We start from the raw sequence: 25,935 nt of genomic DNA, 5'->3' as shown, positions 1-25,935 counted from the left end.
TTGCCTCATGGCTTCATGGCAGGTTGCAGTTTTTCAATCCTTGTTTGCAAAATCTTGAACCCATCATAGTGTACTTGGAAATAATATGCATACATCGTAATTTTCCTGTATATAATTAGAATTTTTACTGGGGTAGAACTTTTCAAGTACCTCCTTTGAGAATTTCCAGGAATGATTATTAACCTTTTCTTCCTACAAAGATAACTTAAAATTGAGTTTTTGAAATTCTGAATCAGGAAATAATAACAATTATGATGTAAAATATTCTTTCCATTTCTGCTTTTTTATGTACAATATTAATTAATCATTTTTACATTGTAATTTTTCCAGATATTTCAGTCAGCCTGTTAGCTGTCGTTGTCAGCTTTTGTGGACTGGCCTTGTTGGTTGTCTCACTTTTTGTCTTCTGGAAGCTGTGTTGGCCATGCTGGAAAAGCAAACCTGTGACTTCCAACATCACTACGCTTCCACAGAGCATTTCAAGTGCTCCTACTGAAGTTTTTGAGACTGAAGAGAAAAAAGAAATTAAGGAAAATGAAAAGCCAGCCGTAAAAGCTATTGAGCCTGCAATAAAAATCAGCCACACTTCCCCTGACATCCCAGCAGAAGTCCAAACTGCTTTAAAAGAACATTTAATTAAACATGCACGTGTGCAAAGACAAATTACTGAGCCTACGTCATCAACCCGGTAAGGAAAGATTAAATATATAAAACTGGTGTGTGTGCGTGTGTGTGTGTGTGTGTGTGTGTGTGTGTGTGTGTGAAATTTCATAAGAGAGAAAAACTTTAGTTGGGAGAAAAGAGAAACAGGAGAAATGGGAAAGACATAGGAAATAGATAATTAAATAAAGAGAGAAAGGGTAGGACAGAGTACATAGGGGCAGAGAGAGAGAAACTAAGGACAAAGAAGCCAAATAGGGAGCAGGACCATGAAAGGGGCTTAGCAGAATGTGAGGTCTCAGTAAAATCGTGTAACTACAGATTATTATTAAACTCTTTCCACTGAAATATCATTAGTTGATAGCTGCTACTTGTAGTCTTCCAACTTAATTTGATTCGACCAATAAATATTAAGAAAGCCATTTGAAATGCATATCGTGGAGGCTCTACACAATCAGAAATCATCTAGAATTTCACAATCACAACTAACAGATTCATATTTAGTCTGCAACTGTTTAACACATATACCAAAAACATGAAACTTCATTTTGTGTTTGAGCTCATGTAGACCAGATTCTTACACTGGGCAAAGTATAAGTTCCACAAGAGGCCAAATATCATGGGCATATGGAGGAGTGTACATTAAAAGGAGGAGGAAGAGGACTTCCTTAAGGAAATACATTTTAACTCAGCCTGGGAAAGTCAACAAAACTTTGTTGAAAATAATTAACCGCAGTATATTCTAATTGTATTAACTGTAAAGGAAAAAATGATTCCTATAAAGAGGCATTTTTTTCTGCTAAGTAGAGGCATCAGTTCTTAAAACAAATGGCATGTTAGCAATTTTTCTCGGGTTGCCAAAAGTAGCAACTAGTTTTATTCTAGGGCAGGGTAAAATCAATGGTCTCTTATTGAGAGGTAACTGCTATTTCCTGCAAACTGATTGACTTCCTAATCTTACCTTTTTATCTCTCTAAACCGAAGACGCATCCATGTTTTCCAACATGGTAATACTTTTAAGGGTTTAGAAATCTATCAAATTGAAAAACTGGGTCATATTGGTTACTAGAATTGAAAGGCTATTCAATATGTATTTTGTGTAAATGGGAGAATTATATCTACAAATAAATCCACTTCTTACTTAAATGTATTCCAGAGGGATAAGTAAGAATAATTATTACCTTTGAGATAAGGAACTTTGAGATAAGGAGGAGGGATGGAAGTGTCTTTTTCATGTTACACTTTTCTAGGCTACTTAAATTTTATAACTAAGGAATGCCTCATATTTTGTGTTTATTTTGACAAGTTTTCCTGAGCAATGACATTTAGGCTCATTTTAAATTTTCTTATTTATGATCTTTATGTAATGTAACTCAATAAATATCCATGTTAATTTTTATATTTATTGAACTATATATTTATTGAATTATATATATTTATTGAACTATAAAATAATTGTCCAATAAGCCACTTTTTTTTACATGTTTTACAAATAGGGGAAAAAATGTCTTTGGGAGGAACTTCCTTTTTTCCAAGACATTGGTCTCGCTATACCTATAGGGGAAAACTGCTTTAAAATTACCTCATGTATTTACTTGATTATCACTACCATCCCGGAAAACTTTGGCCACATATGATATCTTATAGCCACGAAGACTTAAGACACTCAGAAATTTCAAGGTAAAAATCTTCAATTAATCTGCAAAACATTTTAAGAATACTAACCACTGTGAATGTATATTAGCTTAGCATTCAGAATCATTCAACTCTTTAGTTGATATGTACAGATTATATGTGGATACTCAATGAAGACAAATTCAGGTAATCAATGTTTTTTTGGAACCTCAGAAAAACAAAATACTATCTCCAAAATATTACCTGTTGAGTATAGAGACCACTTATTTGATTATCCCTAGCTAGAGGAGAATGAAAACACGTGAGCAAAGACTTCTTTTTGCTAGCTATGAATTTCTCAGTAATTATGTGAAATTGAACAAATCAGAAAAACATAAAAATTTCAACCTTAAAATCATAAAAGTTAGATTGTATATATCTGATATTTTGTAAGAGGAAAAACTGCAACACACATTCAGAGTTTTGCTAGAACTTTTATATCAATCATTTCACCTGCCTCTGACTTTCATTGTTTATATGAGTGGTTGGGGAAAGAAGAAGAAGAAAAGAATTTTGAGCACTTGCAATTTTGTCACTATGCCAAGGCACCCTTCCTGATAATCCTTCACCAACCTGCATGAAGTAAGTATTATTAATTATCCCCATGACATGTGAGTTAACTGAAACCCAGAGAGATTTAAAAATTTGCCTGAAGTCATGCAGCTGGGAAGAGTAAGAATTCAAATTTATCCAGATGGATGAACACATATTAAGCATAAACGCCAAAGGGATGTAGTTTTCCTGCAATTAAATATGTTGGTTACAAAGTATGCTTAGGACAGGTAGTTTGAAGGCTGGAGAATAACAGCATCTTCCTGTTCATCATACTCAATTAAAAATCTGGAATTGTATATGAATATCATGAATGACTAGAGTCATTATTTGAACTTGTTTAGCCTTGGGATGAATTCCTTGCAGAAAACATGATTATTTCTAGTTCTCAAAACCCTTATCTACATTAATTACTTCATCATACTAGAAATTACCTTTATAGAGAGAGGAAGAGGAAATTGCTGAGTTCATTAGGTAGTCCACATGAACACAGAGATCAAGGGTACATTATTATAAATCAAATTATTCTGCTCAAATGCCAACTTTTCACTGAGATGTAGCAAAATCAAACCTACATGCACAGGCACGCACACACACACACATAACACACACAGATGCACACACACACACACACACTGAATTTAACTTTAATACTTTGTTTCCTCACCTTATTAGTATGCCCCAGCTCCAGTCTGTTGGGACTCCTTTATAATTTGGCTCAGACATCATAGTCTTTCAAGTTTTACTTGTCTCTGTATTTAAATAGCATCCTGATGGGCCTAGAAGTTAGCAGCATTGCTGGAAACTCCCACATTTTTCAAGTTATCATCTCCTTTTTCAAGTACGTGGACATTTTGCCCTATCAGCCTGCCAGGCAACCAAACAACCCAGCTGGCATTTGTGTATTTCTTCATTACTAATATTCTTCAAGTGTCATCTTGATTGATTGTTTATTCATCCAATAACCTTATTCAACATATATTTAATCCTGGGTATAGTCAACGTATCTTTCACTCTTTCTACTCCAAAAACTCTAAGGATCTGTGACAATTTCTGTAAATTTATAATATAATGTGGAGACAATACATGTAATACCAATATAAGGAATTACAAGTGCCAGCTATGTGATGGAGAATGTGGAATTCAGAACATTGAGACATTATTTCCAGCTAAGGCATGGAGAAGAGCCATTAAGCCGAGTTGAAGGAAACTGGAAATTCAGATAAGTGGCAATTGGGAGAGGATGTGCATTCTAGATGGAAATATTTTATTTGAAAAATCATGGAGTAGGAAATTTTGCTAAGAAAACAGCAGATAAGGTACTGTGATCAAAAAATAGAGTAAAGTGAAGGAATAATGGAAGATAAAATCAGCTGAAATTGAAGTATAGTGAAACCTTGAAATCATGGCCAACATGTTCAGAGTCTCTCTTGTCAAAAAAAAATATTTGTAGCAGAGGAGTTCTGTGGGTAAGTGTTATGTTTTAGGATAATTCACTTGGCAACACTTTACAAGACAGACTGTAGGAGAAGACATCTACTTTGTAATTTTTATTATGTTCAAGTGTAATAAAAATCAGGAAATAGAAAACAACAACAAAAAGAAACATGAAAATGTGTAAAGGAAAATCTAAGATCCCTTGTAAAAAAACATTAAGTGGCACTTCAGTAATTCCATGTCTAGTCCAAATCTTTTAAAAGTCATTAAAGCTGTTATACTATGATTATACCAAGCTACCATTAGCATTTTGGTTCCATATACCCCCACATATAGAGTTCTATGCTGCTTTCTTAGGCAGAAAATCAGCCGTATTCACTTCTATATTGCTTTTTTTTTAAGTTTTTTTTTTTAATACTTTAAGTTTTGATGCCTTAACAAAGCACTGTAGGAACTCAAAGTGAACTTACTGAATTGAAAGAATCAATAAATGAATTCAATGACCTCATCTTGTTTATCTTACTGATCTTCCATGGTTGCTCACTAGAAGGGCACTTGGTCTTTTTACCATCCTCCTAAAGATCTGACTCTCTTTGCCTCTGTGCTTTTGTTCATGCTGCTTTCCTTGTGTGGAATAACAACCTCGTTTTTATGTACTACAAGATCTTTAAGAAAAATGCATCTGAGAGTCCACTTTCTCTGCCCAATTATTAACTATTATCCTTTATTATTTAAAGCTGTAATTACAATCTAGCAATTATTTTCTATCTTAATATTGAGCTCCAGCTGTTTCCAAACTAGATGCTAAATTTTCAGCATCTAAGCGTGTGTAACCCACTTTTATGCCCTCCTATTCCACCACTGTGTAGGCACATAAGTGTCAATTGAATGCTTTTGATTGATTGATCATCCTCCACTTCATTTTGCCTTTTTAAATACATCATCTTTAAAAGCCACACGAGATGATGAGTGGTGAGATAACACTGTGTTCCTATTAGAAAGAGGTTAATGATAGTATTCTCACAGATGAGTATGAGAACCAATTTTCTTTGAATTTATTAATGGCGTAAAGACGAGGTGAATAGTAACTGGCAAAATAATTTGTTGAGGATGAGGAATTATATAGATTTATCACCTTTAGGACTCTAAGTACCTATTGAAAATAATTAGGAACTGTAATAGCAGAACAAATTGAACATGAAACAAAAACAGGAAAATGTACATGGGAAGAAATCACTGACTTATATGTGCTGATGAATTTACAATATTTACAATTAGCTATGGTTGATTAGAAGCGTAATGCTTAAAATCATCATGCATAGTATCCAAAAGAACGCTTAATGTGCATTATTATAAGAAAAATTAAGAATTATGTAAAAATACATAAAATGAGACTCCATAGTTAACTTTACTGTAAGAATGTTTTTAAAAAATTAAATTTCTCTGAAAAGATAGCAAAAATTGAAATTATCTATGCTAAAACACTGTAAGAAATGAAAAATGGGATATTATAAAAAGGGAGAGTTTAAAAGATATATGGCTAGCTAGGGTATCAAGGAGAAACACTTGCCCAGATCAATGGAAAGACCTGAGATCTGTCTCCCTGAAATAGAAGTTCATAAAACATGCTTTGCAGGAAATTGAGGTGGTTAAATAATTCCCTTCATGAAAGAAATGTATTAGGTGTACACACTTGCTTCTTTTCTGAAAAGAGATGACTCTTTGAACTAAGGCCAGAGTCACATCCTTACAAAATGATTGAAATTTGAAGTTTGTTTTCTGGTAGTTATAAATATTGTCTTATACGCAAACACTGATTTGGTTCTTTTTTGCTGTTGTTGTTGTTGTTTTGATACAGAGTCTCACTCTGTTGCCCAGGCAGGAGTGCAGTGGCATGATCATACCTCTCTGCAGCCTTGAGCTCCTAGGTTCAAGCAATCCTCCTGCCTCAGCCTCCCAAGTTGCCAGGACTACAGGCACGCACCACCAGGCCCAGCTAATTATTTTTTATTTTTTTTTCTAGAGATGAGGTCTCAAAGTGTTGCCTAAGCTGGTCTTGAATTCCTGGCCTCAAGCAATCCTCTCACCTCAGCCTCCTAGTCTTCTACATAATGTGAATAAATGCTTGGGAAGTTTGATTTTATTAGTCACAGGAATCTTAGGGTAAATTATTTTCATACAAACTCCAGCAGACATTTTCTTAGTTCCTAGTAAATGTTTATGATGAAATACATTAAAAGATGAATAATACTCTCTGCCATAATAAAGACCACAATTTAGAAGAAAGTCTTGGAGAGTGAAAGACAAATCTGAAAACAGGTAATTTCAATACACTATTTGCAGTAAGGTCGAGGAGATGTGGAGACACAGATGAAGTGTCATCAAGAGTGGTACATGAACCTGGTTGTAGAGCTATCACTATTTTTCTCCAAAACCTAGCTGAGCTCACCAGGAGGTAAGCTCATGAGAGTCAGAAACATATTACAAAGTAAGGGGAAGGTATAAAATTGCACACTGAGCATAGAGATCCAGAGCTAGAATTATGGTCACATGACCTTCTAGGAATCAAGTAATACTAAAAAATAAGTTCTTGGATTTATTATTTTGACCAGTTATTATTGAGAATTTTTTAATGTTTAAGGCTTCAGTCTATATTTACTTCTTTTCTTGTAATATAATATGTTCTCAGAACGTTATCTGTAGATCAGAAGCTATGAAGAAGTATTTTCCAAGCTAATTACTTCATATACATTCATTTAAATATATGCTAGATCAAAAGCAATTGCTTATCATCTCTTTTTATGGTGTTTATGTCATATTTTTTTAAACATGGAGAGAAGTCAAGGTAAGTATTTTGAGAATAACTGAATTGCCTCCTTAGCACAGTAGGCAGTATGTTATTCTCATAATCTGAAGGTTTTAAGTTCAGAATAACTGAACATTTATTTCATTAAATTTATTAAAGAACCAATTGCCTGTAAATTCTTTGAACAGAATAAAGGTAAATTACTGAAGGGATTTTAGCTATCTCTTTAAATAATTGAGAAGAAAACCAGTTGTTTCTCTAGCTTTTATTATTATTATTCAATTGCTATTTAGTCACATGGCTAAATTTTTCAGAGAAAATATTTTCTTTATTCAACAATATTTATTGAACACTTATGTCATAGACATTTTTCTTGAAATTTGATACACATTTGGCACAAAACTGTCAAAAGTCCCCCCACACACACACATTCTTATAAGTTATATGATGTATTACAAGGTAATAAGTCCTACAGAAAATAATAGCACAAAATAAAGGGATTGGAAAGTCTGAATGGGAGGCAGTGTTGTAATTTTAAACATTGTAGCCAGGACAGATCTTGCTGAGAAGGTAAATTGTGCAAAGACTCAAAAGTGGTAGAGAGGTGGGCCTTGAGGAGTCTGGGAGGGCTTTTTATGTAGAGGAGGCAGGCACTGCAAAGGCCCTGAAGCTAGAACCCGTGCTACATGTTCCCACCAAGAGAAATCCAGGAGAAAAAGCAGAGGTAGAGGGGGCTACATTATTTTTGACTTTTACTCTGAGTAATATGGGAAGCCACTAGAGGGTTTTAAGTCAAAAGAGTAGCATGACCTGTTTTTAAAAGATGATTCTGCCTGCTGTATTGAAAATAGACATTGAGGAAGGCACATGGATAGAAGCAGAAAGTCCACTAAGGAAGCTCTAATCCAGGCCAGAGGTGATGGTGTTTCAGACCAGGGAAGTGGTAGTTAATAATGTTCATGAGAACTGACTGGATATATTTTGAGGGTGTAAGAAACAGACCATCCTGATAGATGAGCTGGGGCATGTGAGTGAAATAAGAAGAGTCAAAAATGACTTGAAGATTTTGGACCGAGCGTCTGGGAAAATCAAGTTGAGACAGATGAGACTGTGAATGGAGTGAGTTAGAGAGGCAAGAAGAGGAGATCCGGACCTGTGGTATTTAAAGATTCTGTTAGAAATCTAAGTGGACAAGTTCAGTGGGCAACCAGGTAATGACTCTGGAACTCTGAAGTGAATCTGTGATACATATATAAATTTGGGATCCTCAGCATGTAGATTATGTCCTAAGCGAGGAGATGATATCATCAAATAGTTGAGAGTAGATGGGAAAAAGAAGAAAAAGGATAAATTTCTGAGCGTTGAGAGGTTAGGAACAGCCAAGTGGACTGAGAAGTAGAGGCTAGTAAAGTAGGAGGGAAGCTGGGAGGGCGGAACCTGGAAGCCAAGTGAGGAGAGTAAGTAAGCTCCCAGGAGAGAGTAGCTGTCAGAGGAGTGTGCTAAGCCCGGGTGGGATGAGGATTGTGAATGGACCTGTTTGAATTTAGCAATGTTGGGGAGACATTGTTCACATTTTCAAGAGCGATTGTGGTACAGTATATGAAAAGCTGATTAGAGTAAGTTTAAATAGAATTTGAACAGTGAATATACTGTCCTCAACTCTTTCAAAGAGTTTTGCTGCAAATATGTTAGAGAAACAGAGCAGCAAAGAGAAAGTAGGGTGAATAGCAAGTTCTTTTAACTTTACATCCCAACTCAGACAACCCTTCCAACTCACCAAAACCTCCAATCCATTGATTCTGTCACTATGTCATAATTCCTATATCTTTGATATTATTTTTTTTCCTTCTTAGTTTCAATTCCATGGTCAATCAGAGCCACTCTCTTGTGTACACCCTCAATTCTCTTGTTGCTTTTTATTTTTGTATTTGCAGGGCAAAACCACAGCCCTAGCTGAATTCATTGCTCTGTCATCTCTACACTTGCACATGTGCAAATGAGTATGACTGGAAAAAATATAAACAACTCTCATGGATCCACTTGAAATTCATGACCACATTCCTCATTTAGCTAGCTAATGCTGCACAGCAATCTGTTTTCCCTCTCAATCTTTTGAGAGTCACAAGACTATTGTGTTGATACATTTTCTGTTGCTCATAGCAGAATACCAGAAGCTGGATCATTTATAAAGAAAATGAATTTATTTCTTACAGTTAGAAAAGCTTTGAAGTCCCTTGTTGAGGGGCCACATCTGGCAAGGGTCTTCTTGCCGGTGAGGACTCTGCAGAGTCCCAAGGTGGTGCAGACCATCTCAAGGCAAAGGGGCAGAGTATGCTAATATGCTAGCTCAGCTCTCTCTTCCTCTTCTTATAAAGCCAGCAGCTCCACTCCCGAGATCATCCACAAATCTATTAACTCATTAATCCATTGATTCATGAATGGATTTAATCCATTCATGAGGCAGAGCCCTTATGCCCTAGTCATATCTTACAGTACAGGCTCTGCCTCTCAATACTGCCACATCAGGGATTAAGTTTCAATGTGAGTTTTAGAGGGGACATTCAAACCACACCATTTTATACCTTCTCACTTTTTTCAAACTTCTATCACCTTCTTCCTCTTCTCAGTTTTAATTAATTACCTTACTTCCCATTTTACTAAGAAAATTGAAGCAAATGGCAGAAACCTTCCACAGGCTCCCACCACATCATCAACCCTCTTACCAGGATCTATCCCATATACTTGCCTTCCTGATGGATAGTACATTAACTATCAATGCTCCTATCTATAACGAATCCCTCCACTTTCAGGTTAGATCCCATTTTACCTCCTGTCACTTCTAAGAATCCTCCTCTCTGATGCTTGCATTATTATTTCTCCCTCTCTATTTTATTAGTATCCTCAGCACAAGAGCATGCCATTATTTCTTCTATCTTAAAGGAACCTGAAAAGGTAGGAAGTGTTGATGAGAGGGAAGCATGCCTGAAATTGTGGTTGTGAAGAGCTTGCTGTTGATGATGACAAAATCTGGCTATTTACATGATAGTGACTGAGGTTAAGTAGAGAACATCATTGGAAGAGAGGAGTTCATTGAACCTAGAGGCCAAAGGGTTGGAAGAAACACTTAGATTGTCGGAATTCGAGCAGAAACGTTGTAAAAGAGAATGTTCATGAACCAGAAGACTAAGATAATGAAGACTTTATAGAAAGGGTTTTCAATATCAATAGATCACTAACAGTAAGTGGTAATGGAAGTGTGATTTCTTGACTTGAGCTTCAGAGATGGGTGTGGTAGCTTAAAAGAGAATGGTGTGGGCCGGGCGTGGTGGCTCACACTTGTAATCCCAGCACTTTGGGAGGCTGAGGTGGGTGGATTGCCTAAGGTCAGGATTTGGAGGCCAGTTTGGCCAACATAATGAAACCCCGTCTCTACTAAAAATACAAAAAAATCAGCGGGGCGTGGTGGCACACTCCTGTTATCCCAGCTACTCGGGAAGCTGAGGCAAGGGAATTGCTTGAACCAGGGAGGAGGAGGTTGCTGTAAGCTGAGATCACACCACTGCACTCCAGCCTGGGTGACAGAGTGAGACTCTGTCTCAACAACAACAAATAAAAGAGAATGGTGTGAAGTGGTAATGGGGGTCAAGAGGAAACTGTTACTTCACTGGCAAGCTGGTGGAATAAGGGCCATGGGGAAATAACAGCCACCATGTGAGAGGAACACATACGAAATGATGTCCTTGGGGAAGAGCCAGATTTCTACCAGGTAATAAGGTGAGAAACATTCTAAAAAGGGATTAAGGATATAGAGGTCAATGGATTATTTTAAAAAATCCACTGTGGCATTTTATACAGTTTACTCTCCCTATAGTTTTTTGCATGGTATATGCTCAGATATTTGTGTAATGAATCACTCTTGTCTTTGTTTCAAATTGAACGGGAGAAAATAGGAAACAGAATAAAAACTTTGTTTACCAGAAACTTGATTTCGTCTTGCTATTCAAGCCTCTTTATGAAATGGTGATCTAACTGAATATATGATGAGAGTTTCTGATGCAGATTTTAATATTAAAATAGAGATAAATTTCTTTTAAACATTTAATTATTAAATAGAAAGCTGCTAAAGATATTTTTACTTTTCTTCTGTGATTTCTTAAGCAATATCTAAGGTTAATTTAATAGATAGTAAAGACATTGCAAATTAAAGCAAGAGGATATAGGTTTCCCATTAGATGCTGAGATGTGAAGTCAGGGGGTCTTTTTAGACCAGGGAGGTGGTCCACGACATGCTCACATAGAAATGACTTTGAGCTGTCTCTGCATCCCCAGGAAGCCTAGATTTGAGCTTGTCAAAACCATTATGGCATATGTACTTTGGCTTCTTGTATCCTGAATTATAAAAGTAATAACTAATGTTAATATGAAAAGTGATAATTGGGAAAGTCATATATAATATATCATTTAATCTCAAAAACTGTAAAAGAACCATTTTATAAATGAGAAAAATAAAGTTCAAACAAGTTAAGTGATGTGCCTAAATTTGCCCTCACTACATAGGGAAGCTAGAACCAAACTGTAGCAGACTCTAGTCCAACACTTTTTCCATGTCATCTCTTTCTTTGTAAAAGTCTTTAAACACTTTCTTCTGATAGGCGGGAAGAATTTGCTCGTATTCCAGTGAGTTTCCAGGACTCTAACCACATGTCAACCAGAGCAGCTCCGTCTTTACATAGTCAACTTCTGGCCTCAGATTTTATTGGAAGGAAAGGATCTATTTGTAGTAAATATTTGAAAGTGACCATATTAATACATTATATTCCAGTGCCATCAACTAATGTTGACTATATCTAGCTACCCTCAGAGTTCCAGGTTAGATGGGGCAAGTTTTTCTTTCTCTGGTAGAGTGCTTGGACAGTGCTAGATTTGAAGAATAAGATGGTGATGTTAGGGTGTCAATTTTAGATCTTCCCTGCTTTCTCTTGTGGGCATTTAATGCTATAAATTTCCTTCTACACACTGCTTTCAATGTGTCCCAGAGATTCTGGTATGTTGTGGCTTTGTTCTCACTGGTTTCAAAGAACCTCTTTATTTCTGCCTTCATTTCATTATGCACCCAGTAGTCATTCAGGAGCAGGTTGTTCAGATTCCATGTAGTTGAGTGCTTTTGAGTGAGTTTCTTAATCCTGAGTTCTAGTTTGATTGCACTGTGGTCTGAGAGACAGTTTGTGATAATTTCTGTTCTTTTACATTTGCTGAGGAGTGCTTCCAACTATGTGGTCATTTCTGGAATAAGTGCAATGTGGTGCTGAGAAGAATGTATATTCTGTTGATTTGGGGTGGAGAGTTCTGTAGATGTCTATTAGGTCCGCTTGGTGCAGAGCTGAGTTCAATTCCTGGATATCCTTGTTAACTTTCTGTCTCTTTGATCTGTCTGATGTTGACAGTGCGGTGTGAAAGTCTCCAATTATTATTGTGGGGGAGTCTAAGTCTCTTTGTATGTTTCTAAGGACTTACTTTATGAATCTGGGTGCTCCTGTATTGGGTGCATATATATTTAGGATAGTTAGCTCTTCTTGTTGAATTGATCCCTTTACCATTATGTAATGGCCTTCTTTGTCTCTTTTGATCTTTGTTGGTTTAAAGTCTGTTTTATCAGATACTAGGATTGCAACCCCTGCCTTTTTTTGTTTTCCATTTGCTTGGTAGATCTTCCTCCATCCCTTTACTTTGAGCCTATGTGTGTCTCTGCATGTGAGATGGGTTTCCTGAATACAGCACACTCATGGGTCTTGACTCTTTATCCAATTAGCCAGTCTGTGTCTTTTAATTGGAGCATTTAGCCCATTTACATTTAAGATTAATATTGTTATGTGTGAATTTGATCCTGTCATTATGATGTTAGCTGGTTATTTTGCTCGTTAGTTGATGCAGTTTCTTCCTAGCCTTGAAGGTCTTCACAATTTGGCATGTTTTTGCAGTGGCTGGTACCGGTTGTTCCTTTCCATGTTTAGTGCTTCCTTCAGGAGCTCTTTTAGGACAGGCCTGGTGGTGACAAAATCTCTCAGCATTTACTTGTCTGTAAAGGATTTTATTTCTCCTTCACTTATGAAGCTTAGTTTGGCTGGATATGAAATTCTGAGTTGAAAATACTTTTCTTTAAGAATGTTGAATATTGGCCCCCACTCTCTTCTGGCTTGTAGAGTTTCTGCCGAGAGATCCACTGTTAGTCTGATGGGCTTCCCTTTGTGGGTAACCCAACCTTTCTCTCTGGCTGCCCTTAGCATTTTTTCCTTCATTTCAACTTTGGTGAATCTGACAATTATGTGTCTTGGAGTTGCTCTTCTCAAGGAGTATCTTTGTGGCATTCTCAGTATTTCCTGAATTTGAATGTTGGCCTGCCTTGCTAGATTGGGGAAGTTCTCCTGGATAATATCCAGCAGAGTGTTTTCCAACTTGGTTCCATTCTCTCCGTCACTTTCAGGTACACCAATCAGATGTAGATTTGGTCTTTTCACATAGTCCCATATTTCTTGGAGGCTTTGTTAATTTCTTTTTACTCTTTTTTCTCTAAACTTCTCTTCTCGCTTCATTTCATTAATTTGATCTTCAGTCACTGATACCCTTTCTTCCACTTGATCAAATCAGCTACTGAAGCTTGTGCATTTGTCACGTAGTTCTCGTGCCGTGGTTTTCAGCTCCATCAGGTCATTTAAGGACTTCTATACACTGGTTATTCTAGTTAGCCATTCGTCTAATCTTTTTTCAAGGTTTTTAGTTTTTTTGGATGGGTTCGAACTTCCTCCTTTAGCCAGGAGAAGTTTGATCGTCTGAAGCCTTCTTCTCTCAATTCATCCAAATCTTTCTCCATCCAGCTTTGTTCTGCTGCTGGCGAGGAGCTGCATTCCTTTGGAGCGGGAGAGGTGCTCTGATTTTTAGAATTTTCAGGTTTTCTGCTCTGTTTTTTCCCCATCTTTGTGGTTTTATCTACCTTTGGTCTTTGATGATGGTGACGTACAGATCGGGTTTTGGTGTGGATGTCCTTTCTGTTTGTTGGTTTTCCTTCTAACAGTCAGACCCTTAGCTGCAGGTTGGTGCAAAAGTAATTGCGGTTTTTACCATTACTTTCAACAGCAAAAAATACAATTACTTTTGCACCAACCTAATACTAGGTTTCAAGGATAAGAATGGCGTTAGTAACAGTCAAATGACTTGCACTGTGATTGGTTGGATATTTGTGTGAGACTATATAGCCACTAATCACTGTCATTCTAAAAGAGAAAAAAAAAAAGCCAGAAGAAAAAAAATATCTGTGTTGTCATGGCAATAGTTTAAACATTGTAATAATTAAAGCTTGTCTTAACTGACTAGCTAAACTGTGACTTAGAATATGTGCTATTTACCCTATTATTAGGACACTGACTTACTAGAACAAAAATGTTACTACTTTTTTATTCTTATAAAGGGACTTTACAGCTGCAAAAATATAATCAGAGTCATAAAGAAGAAATTACTAATTTTGGCACAGAGGATAGAAAATTGAAGTTTTATAATATTGAAAAGCACAAGGGAGTGTGAAATGATGGAATAAATCTATAAAAAAATAAAGAATTAACTTCTTAGGGGTTTTGCTCCCAAAAATCAAAAGCTTGTTGCATAACTGAAAGTGATTTTAGCAAGAATGTTAGATTTTCTATTCAATAAAATATCCTAAATATCTTAAGAATATTGAATATGCAAACTAGATTATACTAGACCCTTTTAACATTTCACAGTAATATATACTACTTATATTCCTTTTTATATTCTTTTTATTTTCATAAATTCCCTCTGACCTTTGCTAACCCTAATTTAAGCTCCTGATCTTTCATATCTGGGGTAGATTCGAGGTCAAAATACATTTCATGTCATGCCTAATGCATTAGAGTGGCATATATCTGAAGAAACAAATCACTTCAAGATTTAAGTTAGCAAAGACTTTTTTATGTGTATACTCACTTAGATACAGAAACTAAAATATTGAGTCATAAAGCCAGTGTAGTTTCAATTAGGGGCCAATTCTCTCACCTGAGATAAAGTAGTTCTAGTATGTTTCTCTATATAGTAACGGTTTTTCAATTATAGTCAAATTTTAAAAGTCATTTTTAATATATGATATACCACAAATCGCCTTACAAATTTTACTTTGTTGTTATTTTCAAAATATGTCATTTCCAATAAAATATATCATAACTATAAACTCGATAAGAATTTTGTACACAATGGTCTGATCATAATTTCATTTACAAATTAAACATTTGTGCTCCCTTCCAATTTTTGGTAACAAGTCAAATAAGTTAAAAGCACCTCTAAAAACATATCAAGCTATCTTAACCAAATAAACTTGAGATCTTAGTGGATTACATAATTATGTTATATATAATATTTAAGTGGAAAACATATAAAAGCATATAAAATGATACTTTAATATTTTATATGGTTATTTAGTAGAATAATTGATTTTTGAAGTAATTTAATCAAATAGGATAACCATTAATATGACAGTATATATAGCATGGTGGTTAAGGGTGTGGCCACTAGACCCAGACTGCCTCAGTGAAATTTTAATTTTAGCACCTGCTTACCAGCAAGACTTTGAATGCATTACTCACTTCTCTGTGCCTCAGTGTCCTCATTTGGGAACATAATAGTAAGTACCTGATTGGGTTACATGAGGCTCAGTTGAATTGATAAAGAATTTATACCCATACCTGCAACATCGTAAGTACTCCTATGTTAGCTTTTACTGGCAACATCTGAAGAGCAAAGGCATCCTAACTTTTTATTGTGAAAATGTTTTAGTGTATATTTCTGTATTTTTTCCCATCTTTTATTATTATTTTTTATTTTCTTCCAAATTGTATTTGACATTATTTTTTTCATATTCTAATTCTTGGCATACTTTAGCACTAATCTGATATTAGAATATCATTTTTCCATAGACTTTCTCCTTTTATCCATATAATTCTCTGTGACAGCACACTAAAGCTTCTCATTCTTTGGGTGAAGCTGAGCAGAATGTGGAGGACGAGATCTTTCAAAAACACTGCAGTTTACTTTCACCTGTGACACCCTTCCACCACTTTACTAGTTTGAATCTTTAATTTGCAATATATGTATTGAACGATAGGTCCTTTAAACAAATGTCTGAGAAGTCTGTGAATAGTACAGTAGAAACAAGCAGAGCTACTGATACTCTCACAGCTCATTTCAGTTTGTCTTCCTTATCTGTATGAAAGGGGACCATAGAGAGAGGTTGAATTAGTTTCAATACAGCCCTAAGCACTTCTTATGGTGTTTTTTGAATTACTGCTCAACAGTTCAGTCCAGTTAAAGTAAATAAGCAAATTAAACGTAAGAGAATGAACTTGGCAACACCTTAGATTATAATTCTGATTTTAACAAATTCCATTCTATTAATGCACATAATATTGATACTGCGTTGTAAACATTTAGGCCCGTAAAATTACTGAAGGACTATAGAATGAAAGAGAATCACAGAATAAACTTAAGGTTAGAGAACACTTAATGTTTCCTGCCTCAAGTGAGATGCTAGACTTGCCAAAATCTTATGTGAGGCAGAAATATTTTTCTTCAGCATCTAACCTTTGTTCTACATTTCCAGCTTGAGGAAGTTCACTACTTCACTGTGTTGGATAGCTCTAGATTATTTTAAACGTTCCTTTATATTAAGCTAAAGTTTATCTTCCTGCACCTTCCATAAATTCCTAAATGCTGTCATGACAGTCCTTCGGGCATTAGAAGACAGCTAGCCTTAATCCATCTTTACCCTATTCTTCAACTTCTCCTTTCTAGGTTCAACATCCTCAGCTCCTGTCACTACTTCTCAAATGGTATTGTGGCCAGGCATCTCACTTATGGATGGTCACTAATTTGTAAACTCTTCTTTGAGATCAGGAGATCGAGACCATCCTGGCTAACATGGTGAAACCCCAGTCTCTACTAAAAATACCAAAAAATTAGCCGGGCGTGGTAGGGGGCGCCTGTAGTCCCAGCTACTCGGAAGACTGAGGGAGGAGAATGGCATGAACCTGGGAGGCGGAGCTCGCAGTGAGCCGAGATCACGCCACTGCACTCCAGCCTGGGCGGCAGAGTGAGACTCCGTCTCAAAAAAAAAAAAAGAAAAGAAATCAATGTTCTCACGCCTGTAATCCCAGCACTTTGGGAGGTGGAGGTGGGCAAATCACTTAAGGTCAGGAGTTTGAGACCAGCCTGGCCAACATGGTGAAACCCCATCTCTACCAAAAATACAAAAATTAGCCAGGTGCGGTGGTGGGAGCCTCTAATCTCAGCTACTTGGGAGCCTGAGGCAGGAGAATCGCCTCAACCTGGGAGGTTGAGGTTGCAGTAAGCCAAGATTGTGTCACTGCACTCCAGCCTGGGTGACAGAGTGAGAACCCATTTCGAAAAAAAAGAAATCGAGCTTCATGTGTGCATCAGTGAATCAAATATTAATCATGCAATGTCATCTATATTACTTAGTGCTGTAACAGGTGTAGACCTGCTGCAATAGACAACAGAAGTGAATAAAGTATTTTGAAATGAGTGTTCTGAGGGTGCACTGACTGGGTATTAAGTATAAGACAGAGCTGGAAGGAAAAAAAAAAGCCAGCTGAAGGTGACTAGAGAAAGCAAAATATATGGAGATAAGGATCTGGACTCCACAGCAATGGAAAAGGAGTGGAATGAACAACTATATGAGATGTTTCAAAGGAAAAGCAACAGGATTTAGAAAACTGAGTAAATCCTATGGGTAAAGGGAGAATGATTCAAAGCATACTTCATTCTTGGAAGCATGAGTGACTGATAAAAAATATTAGTGCTATTGTCAGAGATTGTGGGATAAAGAACCGATTTGCAAGCAAAAGGGAGAAAATGATGAGTTTGGTTGCATTTGGGGAGAAATGAAGACATCTGTTTAGAAATCTTCCTTAGAAATTTAGAGATACGGGACTAGAAGTTTATGTAGCTGGGATTTATCTGAGAAACCATCAGATTCAAGACAATAATTATAGTCCAAGAACTGATGATTAGTCTGATGAACAGACTGACAAGAAATATAACAAAAGACGTGGGACTAAGCTTTGAGGAGATGGGTAGTTTGGCACAGTTCGTGCCAGAAAGCATGGAGTAAGTATAAAAGCAGCAGATCTTTAATGCAAGTCACATGTAGAAGACATTAGTAAGCTTATATATTTAATATTCTGGAAATGTTGACTAGATGAGTAGTAATAGTGACTATAGGAAATTCAGTCTGAATTTTTAAAAACTTGTTTTGTTGGGCTCAAATTCTAAAATTCTACGTTTGTTTTTATCCTTAGAGTTTCTGAAGACCACAGCATGTTGAAAAAAAGAAAATGTACTCATTTTTGGCTGCCACAACTATATATTCTTTTTAAAAGTAAATATGTATTTAGTTAGATTAAGAATTAGAAACAACTCATTATAAGAAAATGTGGACCTATAACATGTTTTTAATTTTAATACTATAGTCACTAAAATGTGAAATTCATGAGACTCAAATATCCAGGTGAAAAGAAACCAGCCATCTGAATGATTTTGTCTGTATAATACTTACATCTAGATAGACCCAGATGACTGATAACATTCACAATTTTCTGTGGAATATTGAATTTTTTTGCTAATCATGTTTCTTTAGAATTGTTTTTAATTATGTGCTTATGATTGAGAGTACAAAATTTCAAAAGCATATGAAAATTAACATTGGCCAGCCACGTGTTGTGGCTCACTTGTGTTATCTCGGCACTTTGGGAGACTGAGGTGAGAGGATTGCGTGAGCCCAGAAGTTCAAGACCAGCCTGGGCAACATAGCAAGACTCTGTCTCTACAAAAAATTTAAAAATTAACTGGGCAGGTGTGGTGGCACATGCCTGTAGTCCCAGCTACTCAGGAGGCGGAGGCCAGAGGATGGCTTGAGCTCAGGAGTTTTAAGCTACAGTGAGCTATAATAGCACTACCGTACTCCAGCTAGGGTGACAGAACAAGATCCTGTCTCAAAAAACAAAAAACAAAACAAAACAAACAAACAAAAAGAACATTTAAGTGTTTCAGATGTTCTGGAATTTTAGGAGACTTCTCTTTGAATATTGTACTTCTTTATTTTTTCAAAAGTACCTCTTTGATTATATGTATGTGTCTATCTATGTAGATATAGATATCTTTTCACTATTCTGGGGGTGGGGAAGAGTTTATATGTCACTGTATAACATTCTCATCAAAATGATCTCCCTCAATGATTTTGTGTATATGTGTGTGTGTTCAGCCACAGTTCCTTCCGAAGACACCTGCCGAGGCAAATGCAGGTTTCCAGTGTTGATTTTAGCATGGGCACAGAACCTGTTTTACAACGAGGAGAAACAACAACCAGCATTGGGAGGATAAAGCCAGAACTCTACAAACAGAAATCAGTTGACTCTGAGGGCAACCAAAACGAAGATGTCAAAATCTGTGGGAAACTTAACTTTACCCTCCAGTATGATTATGAAAATGAACTTCTAGTTGTTAAAATTATCAAAGCTTTAGATCTCCCTGCTAAAGACTTCACAGGAACTTCTGACCCTTATGTGAAGATGTATCTTCTTCCAGATAGGAAAAAGAAATTTCAGACCCGCGTGCACAGAAAGACTTTAAATCCTCTATTTGATGAAACTTTTCAATTTCCTGTAGCATATGATCAACTAAGCAACCGAAAACTACATTTCAGTGTGTATGATTTTGACAGATTTTCTAGACATGACATGATTGGGGAAGTGATTCTTGATAATTTGTTTGAAGTCTCTGATCTCTCCAGGGAAGCCACAGTATGGAAAGATATTCACTGTGCTACCACAGTAAGTAGTAATTCCACCAATATATTGTTTTTTATTTGACTTACAATGCTATGTGACTAATTATTACCCAAATTATCGGAATAAGCCTTGCAGAGTTATGGAATTTATGTCTAAGATCCTGCAAAGGTAGAATTTCATTTCTACTAATAATAATTCAGGCACCTAATGCTGAATATACTAGTAACCCTAGTGATTGTGTGAATAAAAAAACGTAGCTCTTATAAATTAGCAGAACTGGTAGGCTATTTCTCCTTTAAAATATTCATCTGTAATATAAATATCCTATCTGCAGCACCAAGTTTCCTCACAGTTAGTATTGACTTTCATTATTTAAGGTAATTTTGTTATTTTCATTATTTTAGAAATTATTTCACTCTTTAAGAATAATGACTTCATTATTTAAGATAATTCATCAGATCAAACCTAAAATGTACTTTGATGCTATTTGGAAAAGTCCTTGGTTTGATCTGAAACAACCCATTATTTCAGAAGCTTTCAGGGAATACACACAATTACAATATATGAAATGATCAGTGATCAAGAAGTAATCATTGTTTACATTAAAACTTTTCTTTTTCATTACAAAATACTTTTTCTGATTATAAAATAATACCAACTTTAGTACTGAAAATTTAAAAAACAGTAAAAACACATAGCATAAAATTAAAATAATCTACAGTGCTACCAATTATATTTAATATTTTGGCATATTGCTTTCCAACTTTTTGCTATGCATATTTTAAAATATTAAGACCATACTAAGTTAAATTTTTTCAAGCCAATTTTCTTTCATTCTATATTTGTTTTAGTGCATGATGTTGAAATACATGATCCATTTAACCATTTTCTTACTGTTAGACACTTAAGTTAGGGATAAATTTTGTTATATGAAAAATTATGTTCTTTTTTTGTAAATCTGTTTTTTTTTTCAAGATTATTTGTCCGGTATAGAATTATAGAAGTGGAATTAGAGAAGTGATCTCTTAAGTTAGATTGTTTTCTTTATTAGTTTTTAAATGGGGACATTTAATTTTTTACCATCAGGTTGTTTTTACATATTTACTGTCTTTTGTTTGAGTTGTATCGCAACTTACAAGTTTAAAATGTTGAAGTTTTGAACAGAGACAAGGGATTATTTAAAATATAAGCATTTTTTTATTCAAAATAGCTTGTGTTTTTCCATTTATGAATGTTTTACTAATTACAATCAGTATGTGGGATAATTATATTGTCATTGTAAATTATGTGGATAAATTAATTTAAAAATTTATACTGCCAGTTCAATATTGTATTCCAGCATTATAACATTTTTGGTTGTTGGATTTTTGTGTCATAATCTCTATTGCAATATCTATTAAGGAACAAAGAAGGAATTTTGAAAGGGGATTATATTTCAAATGCACAGTGGGGCTCTTTTGATTTCACATTTGTGTTCATTTTATTACCTATATTCCCACGGGGAAAACATGATGAATACTAATTTTTATTGTTTTTAAAAATAACACCTTCTAGAATTCTACAAATGCAGATGGCAATTAATTGTTAGATTATTTCTCTTGATTCCTCAGTCTTATTATTACTTTTTATTTATTCAACAAATATTTACCTATATATGTTTGGCATGCTCTAAGTACTAGGGTTGCAACAAACACATTTCTATAAAAAAGTAAAGTATGTTATGTACATATATTCAGGCTCAGAGGTAAATAATCTGCCAATGAAATCTAAAAAATTAGTATAATCGACTAGGAGATTGTGATTTTTTTTTTTAAACATTCATACGTTTTCCAAACTGGTTCTACTTAGAAAAAAGTAGGAGTTCCTTGTGGAAACTTTAGTTTCTCATTGCTAATAATATTTATTCATTGTTTGGTAAATATTAATAAATTACTTAAATTTATTTGCAACTCTCCCATATGCCTTGTATATTAGTTTTTATTTCTGCTATAAAAATTACCACAAATTTAGCTTACACAAACATTTTACAGTTTGGTTAGAAATCTTTTACAGTTTGGTTAGAAATACAGTTTGGTTAGAAATTACCACAAATGTAGTCTTACACAAACATTTTACAGTTTGGTTAGAAACCTAACATGGGGCCAGGTGTGGTGGCTCATGCCTGTAATTCCCAACACTTTGGGAGGCCAAGGTGGGTGGATCACGAGGTCAAGAGTTCAAGACCAGCCTGGCCAGCATGGTGAAACCCCATCTCTACTAAAAATACAAAAAATTAACCAGACATGGTGTCACATGCCTGTAATCCCAGCTACTTGGGAGGCTGAATCAGGAGAATTGCTTGAACCCGGGAGGCGGAGGTCGCAGTGAGCTGAGATCGCAGCCACTGCACTCCAGCCTGGGCAACAGAGCGAGACTCCATCTCAAAAAAAAATAAAAATAAAAATAAAAATCTGACATGGATTTTACTAACTTAAATAAAATGAATGTGGTTGACAGGGCTGCATTCTTTTCTGGAGGCTCTTGGGGAGACCCATTTTCTTGGATTTTCCTGACTCTAGAGGCCACAGGCATTCATTGCCTTATATTGGGCCCCAGTGGGTAATCTAGGAAAATCTCCCCATCTCAAAATCCATAATCTTAATCACATCCACAAAGCCCCTTTTGCCATTTAAGTAACATTATTCACAGATTCCAGGAATTAGGACATGCCTATCTTTGGGGCTACCTTTATTCCACCTGCCACATCTGCAGACATTCTCATTTCAGAATTCTGAATATAAAAAGAAGTAGGCAGAAAATAAAATGTATTCTTAGATTATTCTAATAAAAGGGCATTCTCCTTTAACTAGAACATTGAACCACACATTATTCAGAATATTGCTTCTGGGTTTTTGTTTGGGAACATAATAATGAAACCTAAATTTCTAGACTGTGTGGCCAAATATTATGGTTAGAGTAGTATTTAATTAAAATTTCTGTTCAGCCTTTGAAAAATCATTAAACAATGTTACATCTTCTTATTAGTAAAAATAAAAAAAAAATGATGTATGTGGAAATTTCATTAAGAAACTTTCTTTTTCTATTCACACGTCATTAATTTTTAAGAATTTCATGCAGAAATTATTGAGTCTTCTAGAAAAATGGAGAATAAGAGGAAATAAATAAAAAGAAATGCAGTATATGCTCTCACTTGTTTAAGTCCTGCGGAAACCTACAGAGGCAAATCAAACTATGCAGACACAGACATAAAAGAGTTTATGTAACAAATAAAATAAATACTGGATTAAAAGACTATTGGCCAGGCACAGTGGCTCATGCCTGTAATCCCAGCAGTCTGGGAGGCTGAGGGGGGTGGATCACCTGAGGTCAGGATTTTGAGACCAGCCTGGCTAACATGGTGAGTGAAGCCCCGTCTCTACTAAAAATAAAAAATTAGCTGGGCATGGTGGCAAGCAGCTGTAGTCCCAGCTATTTGGGAGGCTGAGGCAGGAGAATCACTTGAACTAGGAGGTGGAGGCTACAGTGAACCAAGATGGCACCACTACACACCAGCCTGGGCAACAGAGTGAGACTCTGTCTCAAAAAAAAAAAAAAAAAGACTATCAGATTAAGAGACAATAATGACAAATATAAATATTCTTATAATTCTTATAACTTTATAATTTTAAGAACTCTTATAACTAAAGTTTTTATTTGAAATAATCATTTATGAGATTTTTAAAGAGTACCTTTGTATAATTGCAAATCTCCAATGTAATTTAGACCAAAATTTACTGGGGAAAAGAATACCATTTTGCTATCAGTTTGAAAAGCACTAGCTGGTGTATCTTTAATTTTTAATGATTCTTCTCAGAATCATTAAGACTTGCTTTATTATCATATTGTTGTAAATGTCATGGCTCTCTTTTTCCTTCTTCATGCTAATTATATAATTATATCTCATAATTGTTGAAAATAAGACTCTAGGAAAATCAGACCAGCGGCTTTTGTGATTGTTGTTTTTAAGGGTCTTAAGTGTCTCATTCCTACAAATTTTCATTACAGGGTCTCTGTCATATTTTCTTCCACAGGTCCAAAGGCCTGTGCAAGATCTTATCCAAAAAAATCTTCCTAGAACAGTTCATTCTCTAAAATTTTCTGTTCTACTGCATTTGATTCAAATAACTTTAATTTGATTACATAAATATTTACTGAGAACTTCCTGTGAACAAAGTTTAGTTCTAAAATTGAAAGAAAGACTGGTAAAATACAAGTTTTACTCAAGGACTTTAACAAAGGAGACAAATAACAAAGAAATAAAGTATATGCCTCAGTGTAAATTATTATATAATTGTTTCCTGATAGCCTCCACAAATGTGGTCTTGTCTACACACACAATTTTGGTACAGACTATATCCCATATGAAAATATTTCACATTGCCTTTCCATGATGATAGAATTCTGAAGAAAAGTGTTGGATGATTCTTGAAGAAAAAAACAGCATGAGGAAAAGGAAATAAATTAAGACTGTAGCATGTTTTCAGAGGGCAGAAAAGTAAAGTGTGAATATGAAATGAAGAGACTAAAGGGAACCCAAACCAGAATGTTATATTTAATCTATAATCAAGAGGACATTTAATGTCATAGGAGTTTCTATTTGTTTTGTTTTTTATTAGAAGAGTGAAATCACTGAAGCCATTATCTCATATGGCAACCCACGTGTACAATGGATCAGAGTGGGAGATTGTGAAATGTAGTGCTCAGGTAGGAATCTAACACCACAGACAAGATGAGATGGACAAAGCCTATTGAGGCTGGTAGCAATGAGAATGGAAAGAAGCTAATATATGCTAATGGAAGCATTGTCTGCTGCACTTATTTAAACATTCTGCAGGTATTTGTCTTATGTCTGCCACTAGACTCTGAGCTTCTGGAAAGCAGAAATCATCTTGTATATCTCTTGCATCCCTTACATAGTATGAGTGCTTAGTGGTTAATGAATAAATGCTTTTTGAATGTTATTTAACATAGCAAATTTTCATATGAGATTAAGTGTAGAGATGTATAAATACAGATCTACCACTACCAGAGGAAAAAACAATGGGATGTTGTACCCTATTGATTACAAATAAACAAGGATATGCTTAGGTGTACTTTGTTAATGTTAGCTACTTTTTGTAGACAAATTCTTTTTAATATTCAGGGTATGGCAGCCATATATACATGAAATCAAGCAGGAACATTTTAAATTTATTAAGAAAAATGTTATCAGGTTGAAACAAGAGGCATATATTTTGTATTTATGATTTCATTAATAATAAATTATATATGAAGGATTAATATTTTTCAGGAAGTAGCAATTGTTTTGAAATTTGATACTGACAAAAGAAACAATAAAGGTGAATCTTCATTCTGTGCAAAAATTTAGTTTTCACTTTAGCAATCACCCTACTATATATCACAAATCTGGCAAGCCAACCACCTCTAATACGAGCATAGAAACATCTCCAGCATAGGGAATAATCATATTAAAAAACAGTGTGTACCCTATGCTGCTATTTCTGAAATGTAAAGGAGAAATACATATTCATATTCAGTTATATATACAAAAAAGTCTATGTAAAGACACACGGGAATTTAGTAGTAGAAGTTACCTATTGGCAACTGGATAGAATGAATATATGGTAGAAACTGGATGAATGACTATAGAAAAAGAATGATTTGCAGCATGTGGCTTTATATACATTTTATGTTTAAGCTATTATGCATAACATTATGTTGAATTTTGTTAGTCAATCACTATAAAGACTATTTTTTTTTTTTTTGAGACAGAATCTCACTCTATCCCTCAGGCTGGAGTTCAGTGGTGTGGTCTCGGCTCACTGCAGCCTCCACCTCCCCAGGTTCTAGCAATTCTCCCGCCTCAGCCTCCTGAATTAGCTGGTATTACAGCATGTGCTA

The 25,935-nt window shown here is 35.3% G+C and overlaps 1 protein-coding gene across 2 annotated transcripts in view; it reads left to right on the top strand.

Annotated features, from left to right (window-relative positions):
* SYT10 (synaptotagmin 10) overlaps positions 1 to 25,935 on the top strand; it is a 65,582-nt gene that overhangs the window by 12,994 nt on the left and 26,653 nt on the right. Inside the window, exons 2-3 of one of the 2 annotated variants that reach the window (NM_198992.4) lie at positions 331 to 688; positions 19,470 to 20,037. In NM_198992.4, the coding sequence (NP_945343.1) occupies positions 331 to 688; positions 19,470 to 20,037 (926 nt within the window). Of the gene's footprint in view, positions 1 to 330; positions 689 to 18,507; positions 18,588 to 19,469; positions 20,038 to 25,935 lie in introns of those variants that run through there. The other variant, XM_011520644.4, reaches the window with a different exon arrangement.

The sequence above is a fragment of the Homo sapiens genome, chromosome 12, assembly GCF_000001405.40.
Source record: "Homo sapiens chromosome 12, GRCh38.p14 Primary Assembly".
Lineage (NCBI taxonomy): Eukaryota > Metazoa > Chordata > Mammalia > Primates > Hominidae > Homo > Homo sapiens.
Note: the sequence above shows the minus strand (reverse complement) of the source record. Positions and strands in the feature narration are given on the sequence as shown.